We start from the raw sequence: 17,404 nt of genomic DNA, 5'->3' as shown, positions 1-17,404 counted from the left end.
TGGGTTCCAAAATGTTTCCATATGTCTTCAAGGCCTGATTTTGGTTATGAGCCTCTTGTCTATTTTCATGTACTGAGGGGAAAAGATGCAACTATTTAAGAGTTAAAATAGGAATATGTAAGTTGACATAAAATCCAAAAAGAGATTCATTTATAACTAGAAAATTTTGTTTTAGTTATTTAGTTTTAATTACACTTTAAAAAAATACATAGAAAAAAAGCATCCTTTTAAATATCTTATTTTCAAAGTTAGTATCTACAAAGATGTATTAAAAGAAAGCCTCTCATTTTAATTGGTATTGTTCTCATTAGTGTGTCCTGTGACCTAGGAATGATTGTTTTAACACCTATCTCCTGAATATTTGTCTTCTTTCAAAATCCCAGTTCCTTTTCCTATCAATGGATCTGGCAGCAGATACTGGGAAATGTTACACTCACTACCATAACTACCTAAGACAACCCAATAGTAGTTAGTGAACATTTATCTCTTTCCTAATGTGCTTTCCATCTACTATCCTTGGATTATTTTTTTTGTCTAGTCTCAGAGTAGTTTTGAATAGAATTCCACTTACCCTAACATGATATCACTCTGTATAACTTGGAAAATGACATAAGTGTTCTTTATTAAAATTCTGATTTCCAGTAATGGAAACTTTTGTTTGAAATTGTTTTAAGATTTGCAAATAAGGAAAGTTTAAAAATGGTAGAATCAAAGGTTATTCCTTAAATAAGGGTGATGATGTTTACATATGCTAGGTTTATAAAACTTTTCCCTATATCTAACACTCCCAAATAGCTCCTCTTTGTAGTTCTGCTAAAGTATTTTCTAACTGTAGCCATTTGTGTTGAATGTGGTCAAGCAATGTTTCACTTCTTAGTCTTCCTGCATGAAAGATCATAGAAAGGGTAAAAATGACCTTCATTTTACATCATACATTTAATCCACAAATGTTTGTAGATAAATAACCTTGATTGAATTATATTTTAAATGCATAAACAAACCTGCCAACTGAAGAAATTATACATTCTTTTATATAACGAAAAGACTTCTTGCAGTGTAAACAATTGTTTATTTCATTTACACAAGGTGAAAAAAGTACTTACTCATTTCTGCCAGTTTCTGCTGAAATTTGGACTCTCCTGGGAGATGTTTACTGCAGATTAAAAAAATGCAAAACATTTCATGTGTATTTATAAATGGAAAACTCAAATTTCCAGTAACTATGATGCTTTCGATGACTTACTTTATGCTATTATTTTAGTGAGTAGCTTTTAATTTTAAAATTTAAAAACTAACCATCTAAAACATAAATGTCACAAATTTATGATGCTATGTATTTTTTCAGTGGTTCTCACAAAATACAGTGGTTAATATTTTTCAAGAGTAAACATTTTTAAATTTAATGTTAAGAATAACAAAATTTTATCAATAGCTTTGTAAAAAAGATCAGGGTTTATTAGATATCTTCACTGAATGTTGGTATGCAATTTGTAAGATGTTTTTAACTTTGCACTACACTCATATCTATTATTTTGAGCCATTCTCACAACTTCCAAATAAACTTGGCATGAAAGAAATTGGTATAAGCCAGGAGCAGTGCTGAGACTCTGGATTCCCCAGATGACCATCTCGGCTACTGGAAAACATTCAAAACTGGTTCCTACCTTCCATCTGCTTCATCTGATCCTTCAATATCAAAGCGTAGTTTTTTCAGTGGTTTAGGAGGGTTGCTTCCTTCAGCACTTCTTTTGAGCACACGGTCGCTGTTACATACCATCTGATTTATTTTCTGGAACTTCTCAGAAGTCTACAAATTACAGAATTCTTTACTTTAAATCATTAAATGCCAGTGTTTCATAGTTAGCAACCTCAAGTTATAGTTTGAGGTGTGTCAAAAATCAGGCAAAGGTAATAACTTCATTTAAATTTTCTGCTTCATTGGACCAAATAAAAGATATGAAAAATCTAAAAATCAGAATAACTACCTAATTCCATCCCCAATTAAACACCCACTCTTTGTAAATCCTCCTGTCTTTTCCCATGCAGCTCACATTCTTCCTCCAGCAACTGCCTACTCTGCAAGTCCTGGTTCCTCATTTTCAGAACCCACCATACAGGACTACTTTTCAGAAGTAGGCAAGTCAGAACAGCTTTCTGGAAACTTGCTTTTGTCCTTTTTTTGTTTTTTAGGCTATTATACAACCAGAAGGAAGGTCACAAGAATTTGATAAGAGATGATGTGTTCAATGAATAATAATTTTTGATTCACTTTATGGGTATTATGTTGACAAGTCATATAGACTTTCTGATAGAAATTATATCTGATTTGACGGATAGATTCAACAGTGAGGATTAGCTTTGCCAATTATACTTTATTTTCCAAAAATTAAACTAGCGAATTCTCCCAATATTAAATTCAAAACAGGTTTTGATGGTAAATCTATTTGGAGCACATATACAATTTAACAAAAACTAAATCCCGTGCTGCTATTAAATGTATAATATTTTAAATTATCAGCTTTAAGATATGGAAGTACATTCAACTTTTTCCCAATTATTTTAGAGGTTATGGCAAGCAAAAATGTTTGAAGACCACTATGTGATACCTAGCCAGTTCCAACTGTCCTTATAAGGTCCCATAGCTCCTTTGTAAAGTCTGACAGCTGAGCCCATCGTGAACTATTTGTAACACACATTTTAATATTTGGTCATCTGGCATATAAACTTTTACCTCTCCCTAGTTACTTGAGGCAGTGTGGTGGGCAGCCTCTCAGATGGCTCCCAATGACCCCACCTCCTGGTATTCACCTCCTTGTGTGATCCTCCTCCCCTCGTGTGTGGGCTAGATCTACTGTTGTCTTGCTTCTAACCAAAATAATATGCCAAAAGTAATGGGCTGTCATTTCCAGAATTAGATTACAATAAGACTGTGACCTCTCTCTTGCTCTTTATTTCCCTGCCTCCCTCAGAGTCCCTGCTCTGGGCAAAGCAAGCTGCCATGTTGTGAATAGCAAGCAGTACTATGGAGGGGCCCAAGGGCAAGAAACCAATAGAGGGGCCAATAGCCATCGAGGATCAGCCAACAGCCATTTGAATAAGTCTGCCAGTGAATGCTCCTCTAGTGGAGCCTTGAGATGACTGCAGGCCCAGCCCAACTGACACCTTGATCACAGACTTTGGAGAAACTCTGGCCCAGCTAAGTCATGCCTAGATTATTGACCCACAGAAATGGAGATAATAAGCGTTTGTTTTAAGTCACTAAGTTTGGGGGTAATGTATTATGTAGCAACACATAACATAGGCAGTCTTCCCATTCCTATAAGAATATAAGCTCTCTGGCCAGGTGCAGTGGCTCACATCTGTAATCCCAGTTCTTTGGGAGGCTGAGACGGGGTATCGTGGAAGCCAGGAGTTCAATACCAATCTGGCCAACATAGAAAACCCTGTCTCTACAAAAAATTTAAAAATTAGCTGGACATGGTGGTGCATGCCTGTAGTCCTGGCAACTTGGGAGGCTAAGGTGAGAGGACTGCTTGGGCCGAGGAGTTTGAGGTTATAATAAGTAGGTGACAGAGTGAGACACTGTCTCTAAAAATAAAAATTTAAAAATTAAAAATATAAGCTCTCAGGGGAATGGAGATGGTGCAACATATTAACAGTAATGCATATTGAATATGGGACTGCTGAATTAGTGACTTTAATGGAAGGCCAACTAGGGTTGTGGATTTGCAGCCTAGAATAAATGTTTCAAAGCAAAGCTTTCCCTTGGATCTCCTAGAATGAAGCTCTGCCACTTTCACTGAGGCAGGATCTCATGCAAACAATTCCTAATCAGTGTACCAGAAAAAGAATATCCTAGAAGTCTGAGAGGAAGGACAAGCAAAAAGTGCATATGTATGGAAGGAGACCAGTAGGCAGGGACAGGCTGGTGACATTTGGATATCGGGCTTACATTTTGGAGTATCTCATTTCAAATCACACTCATAATGAGTGAATTTCAAAATTGTTTTATAAAGATTCCTGTGAGGTTATGTACATACATACATGGTATCATTGAAAGATATTTGGTCTTTGTCCCTGGTTCCTGGGACAGAGCTCCTAAAACCCTTCGAATTTCATGTGTGATAAGGGTGATGGGACCATCTTTTGTTCTAATGAGGTGATACTTGGTGGGTACCTAGCTAATTTAGGATGGAAGCTGGTTGCCAGAAAGACCAAGTCTTGAGTAGAAGCTTGGAACTTTCAGCCCCACCCTCTATCCAGGGAGGGGAGGGGGTTGGAAATTGAGTTAATCAATTATGCCTATATAATGAAACCCCCATAAAAACCCCTCAACAATAAGGTTGGGAGATCTTTGGAGTTGGTAAACATGTCTAAGTGCTAGGAAGGTGGTGCACCCCAACTCCCCAGGGACAGAAGCCCCTGTGCTAGGGACTCTTCTGGACCTCACCCTATATAATATTTCTTCATCTGGCTGTTCATTTGTATCTTTTATGATGAACTGATAATAGTAAGTAGAATATTTTCCAGAGTTTTGTGAGTAGTTCTGGCAGTGGATCAAACTGTAAGGAAGAGGCACTATCGGAACCCCCCAACTTCGTATTCAAGTCAGACGGAAGTGTGGTGTAGCCTGGGGACCTGACACTTGTGACTGGTGTCTGCAGTGAGACCATTTTTGTGGGACTGAGCCCTTGAACCTGTGGAGTCTGATGCTGACTCTGGGTAATTAGTGTCAGAATTGAATTGAATTGTAGAACACCAGAGAGTTGAAGAATAGATTTGGGTGAGAAAAAAATCTCACACATTTGGTGATAGAAATGTTGTGAGCAAAAACAGCTCACGTATATATGTATGTATATACACAAATGTATATATGTATTATATAATCTCAAGTGGATATTTAGAAAAGTTTTGAAGTTCACCAATTAGGAGTATGATTTGAGATTAAACTTGATTTGAAAGTAAATCTGAGATATATATATCTCATAAAATTCTATGCAATATGCCTGGATGAGGTGTTTGAATAACTGCATTTGGAAATTCAAATTATAGAAAGCTTTAATTTCTTTTATACTTACAATGCATACTATTATATTTCATAGAAAGAAAATACTCACCCCGAATGATTCACCAATTGATACTAAGATTCTGTCAAGTTAAGATGAAATACCAATTAGTAATAAAAAACCATATACAATTTTGCAGAGATGAGCATAAATACATCATTCTGAACTATTAGGAATACCAAATTAAAGGTTACCTCTACCCTAGAACCACTGACAAACTATATTCATTTGGGAATTATTCTAACAGTGCCCGTCTAATCATATACTCACCTAGTCTCTTAGTTTTAAAGCAAAAGTTATAGGTCTGCAAGAACATATTCTGCCATTGCCCATATTTAGGGAGGGCAAAGGCAAGTTTCAAGGTTACCCCTACTTAGTTCTTCATAAATCAATGGGTAAGTTATCAAATTTCTTTCATATTTTCTCATTTAAAATTCAAGTTATATTTGGAAAAAACTTAGAATATTAAGTAATAATCAGAATTCTAATTAGCATCTATATTGATATAGTAAAGGCTATTTATCATATATCATAGAGTCAGAAATCTTTATTAGTCTGTCTTTATTTGAACCATATAATTTATGTTCTTTATAATAAAGCTGAAGAACATCATTAGCCTGACATGACTCGACAAAGATTTGAAAACATGAACATGGAACTAGTGAATATAGAGATTTTTTTGCCCTCCAATTCCTTGATAAGTGGCCATCACTCTACATATAATATTTGATTAACCAGAGTACCTAAATGTACTGGGTAGAGTGTTAAGATGCTCTCCTAATGCCTGGTCAATGATTTATTAGTTAGGATGTTCAGAATGTGACGTTTTTGCTGAAGAATACCAACACAGAATTTATTTCACTAAGGATCAGCAAGTAGCCATCATTATCACCATAATATGGACTAATTATCACTATTAAAAAAAACTACCTAAGTATACATTTTCATATAGTGGCATGGAACAATGTAAATTTTCTTAAATAGACATGACGTGGCATCTTAGCAGCTTAGAACAAGTAGTAGATATCAGTACACAGATATCCAACTACAAGAACACCAAATAAATAAAGGATGATACAGAGACACATGAGAGCATTTGTATCATATTGCCAATTATTTCTTACTTCATATTTTTCTGTAGAGTTTGAAATTTTTATAATGAGTACGTACTACTTAAATAATTAAATATACCATGCAAATATTTTCTGAAAGGCCAACATATGCCCCCTTTTCTTGCCCATTAGGTACAACCATATGGGCTGATAATTTCTGAGATGAGACTACATTAACTATACTAGCTAATCTGCCTCCTACTTCACACAAATAAAGTCAGTTTCAAATAGCCCATGATAACATATAATTAGTCAACTGAAGCACTTCAAAGCTAGAGAGCACTTGTGGTTGGATGTGGAAGATAATATAATGATTTGTAGTTGCATACAACCTTTCATCTGAGAATTTAAAACAGCTTCATACTCATCATTTCCCTGATCCACAGCACCCTTGTGAAGTACAGATAGAGACCTGCCCAAGGTGAGGTGGTAAAGAGGCCGCCAGCAGGATTAGGGATGGACCTCTAAAGACTTAATTGACAGTAATCTACATTTAATATAACAAGCAAAAGGAAAAAAATCCACAGGAAGCAAAACTTACAGGACATCCAATAAACTGCAAACTAAAAGTACTCAACCTAAAGTAACCTGCTTTGTTTAGCAGATTGGCTATTTAAAAAATATAAAAGTGTTTTGAAACATATAACCAAACTGGTTCTCAAATTGTTCTCAAAAGAAGATACCTAACAGTCAGGAAAGCTGATAACTAAATCTGTAAACCCATCCAAGTAAATAGATTTTCTTTTTTTTTTTTTTATTTATATTTTTTATTATACTCTAAGTTTTAGGGTACATGTGCACATTGTGCAGGTTAGTTACATATGTATACATGTGCCATGCTGGTGTGCTGCACCCACTAACGTGTCATCTAGCATTAGGTATATCTCCCAATGCTATCCCTCCCCCCTCCCCCGACCCCACCACAGTCCCCAGAGTGTGATATTCCCCTTCCTGTGTCCATGTGATCTCATTGTTCAATTCCCACCTATGAGTGAGAATATGCGGTGTTTGGTTTTTTGTTCTTGCGATAGTTTACTGAGAATGATGGTTTCCAATTTCATCCATGTCCCTACAAAGGACATGAACTCATCATTTTTTATGGCTGCATAGTATTCCATGGTGTATATGTGCCACATTTTCTTAATCCAGTCTATCATTGTTGGACATTTGGGTTGGTTCCAAGTCTTTGCTATTGTGAATAGTGCCACAATAAACATACGTGTGCATGTGTCTTTATAGCAGCATGATTTATAGTCCTTTGGGTATATACCCAGTAATGGGATGGCTGGGTCAAATGGTATTTCTAGTTCTAGATCCCTGAGGAATCGCTACACTGACTTCCACAATGGTTGAACTAGTTTACAGTCCCACCAACAGTGTAAAAGTGTTCCTATTTCTCCACATCCTCTCCAGCACCTGTTGTTTCCTGACTTTTTAATGATTGCCATTCTAACTGGTGTGAGATGATATCTCATAGTGGTTTTGATTTGCATTTCTCTGATGGCCAGTGATGATGAGCATTTCTTCATGTGTTTTTTGGCTGCATAAATGTCTTCTTTTGAGAAGTGTCTGTTCATGTCCTTCGCCCACTTTTTGATAGGGTTGTTTTTTTCTTGTAAATTTGTTTGAGTTCATTGTAGATTCTGGATATTAGCCCTTTGTCAGATGAGTAGGTTGCGAAAATTTTCTCCCATGTTGTAGGTTGCCTGTTCACTCTGATGGTAGTTTCTTTTGCTGCGCAGAAGCTCTTGAGTTTAATTAGATCCCATTTGTCAATTTTGGCTTTTGTTGCCATTGCTTTTGGTGTTTTGGACATGAAGTCCTTGCCCACGCCTATGTCCTGAATGGTAATGCCTAGGTTTTCTTCTAGGGTTTTTATGGTTTTAGGTCTAACGTTTAAATCTTTAATCCATCTTGAATTGATTTTTGTATAAGGTGTAAGGAAGGGATCCAGTTTCAGCTTTCTACATATGGCTAGCCAGTTTTCCCAGCACCATTTATTAAATAGGGAATCCTTTCCCCATTGCTTGTTTTTCTCAGGTTTGTCAAAGATCAGATAGTTGTAGATATGCGGCATTATTTCTGAGGGCTCTGTTCTGTTCCATTGATCTATATCTCTGTTTTGGTACCAGTACCATGCTGTTTTGGTTACTGTAGCCTTGTAGTATAGTTTGAAGTCAGGTAGTGTGATGCCTCCAGCTTTGTTCTTTTGGCTTAGGATTGACTTGGCGATGCGGGCTCTTTTTTGGTTCCATATGAACTTTAAAGTAGTTTTTTCCAATTCTGTGAAGAAAGTCATTGGTAGCTTGATGGGGATGGCATCGAATCTGTAAATTACCTTGGGCAGTATGGCCATTTTCACGATATTGATTCTTCCTACCCATGAGCATGGAATGTTCTTCCATTTGTTTGTGTCCTCTTTTATTTCCTTGAGCAGTGGTTTGTAGTTCTCCTTGAAGAGGTCCTTCACATCTCTTGTAAGTTGGATTCCTAGGTATTTTATTCTCTTTGAAGCAATTGTGAATGGGAGTTCACTCATGATTTGGCTCTCTGTTTGTCTGTTGTTGGTGTATAAGAATGCTTGTGATTTTTGTACATTGATTTTGTATCCTGAGACTTTGCTGAAGTTGCTTATCAGCTTAAGGAGATTTTGGGCTGAGACGATGGGGTTTTCTAGATAAACAATCATGTCATCTGCAAACAGGGACAATTTGACTTCCTCTTTTCCTAATTGAATACCCTTTATTTCCTTCTCCTGCCTGATTGCCCTGGCCAGAACTTCCAACACTATGTTGAATAGGAGCGGTGAGAGAGGGCATCCCTGTCTTGTGCCAGTTTTCAAAGGGAATGCTTCCAGTTTTTGCCCATTCAGTATGATATTGGCTGTGGGTTTGTCATAGATAGCTCTTATTATTTTGAAATATGTCCCATCAATACCTAATTTATTGAGAGTTTTTAGCATGAAGGGTTGTTGAATTTTGTCAAAGGCTTTTTCTGCATCTATTGAGATAATCATGTGGTTTTTGTCTTTGGCTCTGTTTATATGCTGGATTACATTTATTGATTTGCGTATATTGAACCAGCCTTGCATCCCAGGGATGAAGCCCACTTGATCATGGTGGATAAGCTTTTTGATGTGCTGCTGGATTCGGTTTGCCAGTATTTTATTGAGGATTTTTGCATCAATGTTCATCAAGGATATTGGTCTAAAATTCTCTTTTTTGGCTGTGTCTCTGCCCGGCTTTGGTATCAGAATGATGCTGGCCTCATAAAATGAGTTAGGGAGGATTCCCTCTTTTTCTATTGATTGGAATAGTTTCAGAAGGAATGGTACCAGTTCCTCCTTGTACCTCTGGTAGAATTCGGCTGTGAATCCATCTGGTCCTGGACTCTTTTTGGTTGGTAAACTATTGATTATTGCCACAATTTCAGAGCCTGTTATTGGTCTATTCAGAGATTCAACTTCTTCCTGGTTTAGTCTTGGGAGAGTGTATGTGTCGAGGAATGTATCCATTTCCTCTAGATTTTCTAGTTTATTTGCGTAGAGGTGTTTGTAGTATTCTCTGATGGTAGTTTGTATTTCTGTGGGATCGGTGGTGATATCCCCTTTATCATTTTTTATTGTGTCTATTTGATTCTTCTCTCTTTTTTTCTTTATTAGTCTTGCTAGCGGTCTATCAATTTTGTTGATCCTTTCAAAAAACCAGCTCCTGGATTCATTGATTTTTTTGAAGGGTTTTTTGTGTCTCTATTTCCTTCAGTTCTGCTCTGATTTTAGTTATTTCTTGCCTTCTGCTAGCTTTTGAATGTGTTTGCTCTTGCTTTTCTAGTTCTTTTAATTGTGATGTTAGGGTGTCAATTTTGGATCTTTCCTGCTTTCTCTTGTAGGCATTTAGTGCTATAAATTTCCCTCTACACACTGCTTTGAATGTGTCCCAGAGATTCTGGTATGTGGTGTCTTTGTTCTCGTTGGTTTCAAAGAACATCTTTATTTCTGCCTTCATTTCGTTATGTACCCAGTAGTCATTCAGGAGCAGGTTGTTCAGTTTCCATGTAGTTGAGCGGCTTTGAGTGAGATTCTTAATCCTGAGTTCTAGTTTGATTGCACTGTGGTCTGAGAGATAGTTTGTTATAATTTCTGTTCTTTTACATTTGCTGAGGAGAGCTTTACTTCCAACTATGTGGTCAATTTTGGAATAGGTGTGGTGTGGTGCTGAAAAAAAGGTATATTCTGTTGATTTGGGGTGGAGAGTTCTGTAGATGTCTATTAGGTCTGCTTGGTGCAGAGCTGAGTTCAATTCCTGGGTATCCTTGTTGACTTTCTGTCTCGTTGATCTGTCTAATGTTGACAGTGGGGTGTTAAAGTCTCCCATTATTAATGTGTGGGAGTCTAAGTCTCTTTGTAGGTCACTCAGGACTTGCTTTATGAATCTGGGTGCTCCTGTATTGGGTGCATAAACATTTAGGATAGTTAGCTCCTCTTGTTGAATTGATCCCTTTACCATTATGTAATGGCCTTCTTTGTCTCTTTTGATCTTTGTTGGTTTAAAGTCTGTTTTATCCGAGACTAGGATTGCAACCCCTGCCTTTTTTTGTTTTCCATTGGCTTGGTAGATCTTCCTCCATCCTTTTATTTTGAGCCTATGTGTGTCTCTGCACGTGAGATGGGTTTCCTGAATACAGCACACTGATGGGTCTTGACTCTTTATCCAACTTGCCAGTCTGTGTCTTTTAATTGCAGAATTTAGTCCATTTATATTTAAAGTTAATATTGTTATGTGTGAATTTGATCCTGTCATTATGATGTTAGCTGGTGATTTTGCTCATTAGTTGATGCAGTTTCTTCCTAGTCTCGATGGTCTTTACATTTTGGCATGATTTTGCAGCGGCTGGTACCGGTTGTTCCTTTCCATGTTTAGCGCTTCCTTCAGGAGCTCTTTTAGGGCAGGCCTGGTGGTGACAAAATCTCTCAGCATTTGCTTGTCTGTAAAGGATTTTATTTCTCCTTCACTTATGAAGCTTAGTTTGGCTGGATATGAAATTCTGGGTTGAAAATTCTTTTCTTTAAGAATGTTGAATATTGGCCCCCACTCTCTTCTGGCTTGTAAGGTTTCTGCCGAGAGATCCGCTGTTAGTCTGATGGGCTTTCCTTTGAGGGTAACCCGACCTTTCTCTCTGGCTGCCCTTAACATTTTTTCCTTCATTTCAACTTTGGTGAATCTGACAATTATGTGTCTTGGAGTTGCTCTTCTCGAGGAGTATCTTTGTGGCGTTCTCTGTATTTCCTGAATCTGAACGTTGGCCTGCCTTGCTAGATTGGGGAAGTTCTCCTGGATAATATCCTGCAGAGTGTTTTCCAACTTGGTTCCATTCTCCACATCACTTTCAGGTACACCAATCAGACGTAGATTTGGTCTTTTCACATAGTCCCATATTTCTTGGAGGCTTTGCTCATTTCTTTTTATTCTTTTTTCTCTAAACTTCCCTTCTCACTTCATTTCATTCATTTCATCTTCCATTGCTGATACCCTTTCTTCCAGTTGATCGCATTGGCTCCTGAGGCTTCTGCATTCTTCACGTAGTTCTCGAGCCTTGGTTTTCAGCTCCATCAGCTCCTTTAAGCACTTCTCTGTATTGGTTATTCTAGTTATATATTCTTCTAAATTTTTTTCAAAGTTTTCAACTTCTTTGCCTTTGGTTTGAATGTCCTCCCGTAGCTCAGAGTAATTTGATCGTCTGAAACCTTCTTCTCTCAGCTCGTCAAAGTCATTCTCCGTCCAACTTTGTTCCGTTGCTGGTGAGGAACTGTGTTCCTTTGGAGGAGGAGAGGCGCTCTGCGTTTTAGAGTTTCCAGTTTTTCTGTTCTGTTTTTTCCCCATCTTTGTGGTTTTATCTACTTTTGGTCTTTGATGATGGTGATGTACAGATGGGTTTTCGGTGTAGATGTCCTTTCTGGTTGTTAGTTTTCCTTCTAACAGACAGGACCCTCAGCTGCAGGTCTGTTGGAATACCCTGCCTTGTGAGGTGTCAGTGTGCCCCTGCTGGGGGGTGCCTCCCAGTTAGGCTGCTCGGGGGTCAGGGGTCAGGGACCCACTTGAGGAGGCAGTCTGCCCGTTCTCAGATCTCCAGCTGCGTGCTGGGAGAACCACTGCTCTCTTCAAAGCTGTCAGACAGGGACACTTAAGTCTGCAGAGGTTACTGCTGTCTTTTTGTTTGTCTGTGCCCTGCCCCCAGAGGTGGAGCCTACAAAGGCAGGCAGGCCTCCTTGACCTGTGGTGGGCTCCACCCAGTTCGAGCTTCCCGGCTGCTTTGTTTACCTAAGCAAGCCTGGGCAATGGCAGGCGCCCCTCCCCCAGCCTCGCTGCCGCCTTGCAGTTTGATCACAGACTGCTGTGCTAGCAATCAGCGAGATTCCGTGGGCGTAGGACCCTCTGAGCCAGGTGTGGGATATAGTCTCGTGGTGCGCCGTTTCTTAAGCCGGTCTGAAAAGTGCAATATTCGGGTGGGAGTGACCCGATTTTCCAGGTGCGTCCGTCACCCCTTTCTTTGACTCGGAAAGGGAACTCCCTGACCCCTTGCGCTTCCCAGGTGAGGCAATGCCTCGCCCTGCTTCGGCTCGCACACGGTGCGCACACACACTGGCCTGCGCCCACTGTCTGGCACTCCCTAGTGAGATGAACCCGGTACCTCAGATGGAAATGCAGAAATCACCCGTCTTCTGCGTCGCTCACGCTGGGAGCTGTAGACCGGAGCTGTTCCTATTCGGCCATCTTGCGTTGCTTAAGTCGTAAATAGATTTTCTTCACCCCGCCCCCATATTCTTATTATGTTACTTAAATAAGCAAATAGAGTTTCAAGAGTCTAGCTTATTTGAAATGAAGAATGCTTTATATTTTTTATTCTTGGATCAAAATAATCCCCCTCTCATTCTTTACTACTTCCCTAAAGAGAAAACACACACCTTGATCTTGGAGTCATTTTTGTTGGTGTTGGCAGACCTTCTGAAATTTTATATGGACTCTTCAGGGGTGAAATATAGATGTTCCCTCCAGGAATCCGTAAGGGTGAACTAGGAAACTTGTAAGGGCTTCGAGGAATGTGAGGTATTGGTGACAAGGTAGGGGGCTAGAGCAAAAACAAAAAAGTAGATTATTTATTTAATGTTTTGGTGGACCCATTACATTAGATTTTTCCAATCAAAGGATACTTTTGACCTACCCTGGTGGAAGCATACTGCAAAATATTTGTTTTCAGTCTCTGCATGAAGACCGAGTTATAGAATACTATAATAGAATCATACTCCTCTTCTTTGATCAAAACACGTTTGAATGTCTGAGGAAGAACAGTAAAAAAAAAAAAAAAAAAAAAAAAGTAAAATTTACTTGTTAAATGAATTTTAAAATTTCTACCTTTAGATTTTCTTTTCTAATAGTTTATAATACTTTTTGACTGGTAAGAAGCACATATTATAAAGGAAAAAATAATAAATAAATAAAATTACTTCTTAGGCTTGGATTATAGCTGCTCTTCTAGAAGTGAAATGTCACAGAATGATTGAGAGAAATAGCCAGGCAGCAGCAGATGGAAGAGCTGGCCATCCAAGAAGAGAAGAGTATATAGACTGGGAAGAGAGGAGTAGATAGACTGGTAGAATGGAAAGCATGATGGGAATCAAAGGGCCAGAGCTGAGCGAAAGCCAATAATATTATCCACCAATATTTGGACTACATTCTCTGGCCTGTACCTCCCGGTATCCCCCCCAATCTATAAGGGTTTCAGTATACATTACGCAATTGCAAGAAGTAGACATTTAGTAAAAGCACTATATTTTAGTGATAGTTAGATTTCACTCAAATTTTAGGGAAAAACACAGAGGTTATATCAGATGCCTCTGATATATACAATTAAAATGATTGAATTTAGAAAATAACTTCAAACATACAAACAAAAATGACTTGGTTTGTATTACTTTTGAAAACTCCAATAATAAATGGGAAAAATACCCCTCAACTCACTTTCCACAGAACAATATGAAATGTGTCATACCAAGTATATTTTACTACTACTATTTCTCTAAAGGGAAGGTAAACCGGAAACACAAAATGTGTTTATACTGAACATTTGTATTATTGATTTGCAAGGCTGCATTTATACTGGCTTTTCCTATAAAGTAATAAAAATAACTTCAAAGAATATCTAATGTTCTATGACTCATGTCAAGTTTATTACAAATACCTGCTTATTACAGGGATAAAATATTATTTATTAACTTTATAAAAAACTATGAATATGGGTAATTTCATAATTACCCTTATCTTTCCAATTCTATTTAAGTTACAAATAAATAATATAAAAGTTTTTATTTGTGAATTTACATAATAAGGTCAGACAGAATATATGATCTCATTAATGAATAAATGAGATCAAATGAATTACCTATGTTATGTTATGGATATGGATTTATCAAAAAAACTTACTATGGAAAATTACCTACCTCCTGAACAGCATGAGGAAGATCCTTGTATGCTGTTACAATGATTTTGAATTTAAGGTCTATATTCTTCACTTTGCATATGCCATACATGGAACACATCATAATCTAGTAAATAAATTGATGTAAAAGTAGTCAGAATTTTATTACATGGTTTTGTTCTTAAAAAATACCATTTTCTTTCTTTTAGCCTCAAAAAAGAAAGGTTTAATCTACAGAGTTATTTCTTTCCATACTGAGCTCAGTTTGAAAGTCTACATGAAGTGTTTAACCCAAAGTGTGTTTAAAGAACAAAATGCAAATCACCAAGGCTCAATTATTCAGGACTGATCACCTGGTTTGTAAATTACCCTAACTTTGGCTCTTGTCCCTTAAATGTTTCCCAGAAAAGTTGAAAGTAGAATCAGTTAATTTTGTATAACTAGCACTTTAAAAAGCCAGGTGTGAAAATGTTTCAAACTATTAGATAAAATAATATTGAACACACTTGGTGGTGGTGGTAAGGAGGCTATGGTGACTGGAAGAGCATGTAAGAGAGTCTTATGTGTTGCTGACAATGTTTTGTTTCTTGATCTGGATGCTGGTTATATAACTAAGCTCAGTTGATGAATTTTTGTTAGAATGTATACTTTTGATACACAGGTTTTTACATATGTGTATTACATTTCAATAAAAGATATTTTAAATGCAAAAATAAGATCTGAAAATGATTCCCTGTGACTTTAAAATGTCAGATTTTCTTTATTTGTATGAACTTTATAGCCTAATTTAAGTACTCATTGCTTCTGCAACATTCTTGCTCTTACCTACTATTGCCAAGAATGCCAAATAATCATTTTTGCTTGGCATCCTACAGCCAAGTGTACAGTGTAGTCCTGACATAAGAATAGCTTATGTAGATCTCATATGAAACAGAATTGAGAGTCCAGAAATAAATACTTATATATTTACAGTCAACTGATTTTTTGACAACTGTCAATGAAGAGAGAAAAAAACTCTTCAAAAAATGGTGCTGGAACAACTAGTTATCCACAAACAAAAGAATGAAGCTGGACCCCTACCTCAACTATATTAAAAAATTAGCTCAAAATGGAGCAAAACCTAAATGTAAGAACTACAATTATAAACATTTTGGAGGAAAACAGGGATAAATCTTAACAACTTCAGATTTGGCACTGGTTTCTTAGATATGACACTAAAGCATCAATAACAAGAAAACAACTACATAAATTGGACATCATCAAAATAAAAAACTTGTGTTTCAAAGGACACTAACAAGAAAGTGAAACAACTCACAGAATGGGAGAAAATATTTTCAAATTATATATGTGATAAGTGACTTGTATGTAGACTACATAATGACCCCTTACAGTTCAATAATAACAAGACAAATAACTCTATTAAAAAATGAGCAGTCTGGGCATGGTGGCTCATGCCTGTAATCCTAGCACTTTGGGAGGCCAAGGTGGGTGGCTTACTTGAGCTCAACCATTCAAGACCAGCCTGAGCAACACGGCAAAACCCTATCTGTACAAAAAAATACAAAAATTAGCTCGGCGTGGTGGTGTGTGCCTATAGTCCCAGCTACTCAGGAGGCAGAAGTGGGAGGAACACTTGAGCCCGGGAATTCGAGGCTGCAGTGAGCTGTGATCATGTCACTGCACTCCAGCCTGGGTGACAGAGTAAGACCATGTCTCAAAACAAAATGGGCTGGGCATGGTGGCTCATGCCTGTAATCCCAGCACTTTGGGAGGCCAAGGCGGGTGGAACACAAGGTCAGGAGTTCGAGACCAGCCTGACCAACATAATGAAACCCCGTCTCTACTAAAAATACAGAAATTAGCCAGGTGTGGTGGCACACACCTGTAATCCCAGCTACTCAGGAGGCTGAGGCAGAAGAATTGCTTGAACCCAGAAGGCGAAGATTGCCGTGAGCCGAGATCGTGCCACTGCACTCTAGCCTGGGCGACAGAGCAAGACTCCGTGTCAAAAATAAAAAAAATAAATAAAAAATAAAATGGGCAAACGGTCTGATAGACATTTCTCTAAAGAAGATATACACATGGCCAGTAAACACATGAAAAGGTGCTCACCATCACTAGCCATCAGAGAAATGCAAATCAAACCACACTGAGATGCCATTTTATACCCACTAGGATGGCTATTATTAAAAAAAAAAGATAAAAAAGTTGGTGAGGATATAGAGAAATTAGAACCTCATACATTATTGGTAGGCATGTAAAATGGTATAGCCACTTTGGAAAATGATCTGGGCATTCCTCAAAAAGTTAACATAGAATTATCATATGACCTAGCAATTCTACTCCTAGGTATGTACCTAGGAGAAATGAAACATGTTCATGAATGTTCACGGTAACATTATTCATAATAGCCAAAAAGTGGAAACAACCCAAATGTTTATCACTTTATGAATGATAAGCATAATGTGGTGTATATCCATACAATGGAATATTGTCTGGCAATGAAAAGGAATGAAGTACTGATACAAGCTACAATACAGATGAACCTTGAAAACATTATGCTAAATGAAAGAAGCCATACACAAAAGACCACATATTATATAATTCCATGTATATGAAATGTCTAGAAGAGGCAAATCCATAGAGAGAAAATAGATTAGTATTGCCTTGGGCTGAGGGGGTAGGGGAATAGGGGGTGACTGCTTGAGGGTATGGAGTTTCTTTCTGGTGTGATACAAATTCTAAAATTGATTA

The 17,404-nt window shown here is 37.7% G+C and overlaps 1 protein-coding gene across 3 annotated transcripts in view; it reads right to left on the bottom strand.

Moving 5' to 3' along the window:
• Window positions 1–17,404, bottom strand: part of RB1 (RB transcriptional corepressor 1) — a 178,140-nt gene that overhangs the window by 3,383 nt on the left and 157,353 nt on the right. For 2 of the 3 annotated variants that reach the window (NM_001407165.1, NM_000321.3), the window contains exons 21-26: window positions 14,673–14,777; window positions 13,397–13,510; window positions 13,140–13,303; window positions 5,118–5,148; window positions 1,665–1,807; window positions 1,104–1,153 (exon numbers count right to left, since the gene is read on the bottom strand). In NM_001407165.1, the coding sequence (NP_001394094.1) occupies window positions 1,104–1,153; window positions 1,665–1,807; window positions 5,118–5,148; window positions 13,140–13,303; window positions 13,397–13,510; window positions 14,673–14,777 (607 nt within the window). Of the gene's footprint in view, window positions 1–1,103; window positions 1,154–1,664; window positions 1,808–1,985; window positions 2,059–5,117; window positions 5,149–13,139; window positions 13,304–13,396; window positions 13,511–14,672; window positions 14,778–17,404 lie in introns of those variants that run through there. The other variant, NM_001407168.1, reaches the window with a different exon arrangement.

Source organism: Homo sapiens, chromosome 13, assembly GCF_000001405.40.
Source record: "Homo sapiens chromosome 13, GRCh38.p14 Primary Assembly".
In the NCBI taxonomy this organism is placed as follows: Eukaryota; Metazoa; Chordata; class Mammalia; order Primates; family Hominidae; genus Homo; species Homo sapiens.
Note: the sequence above shows the minus strand (reverse complement) of the source record. Positions and strands in the feature narration are given on the sequence as shown.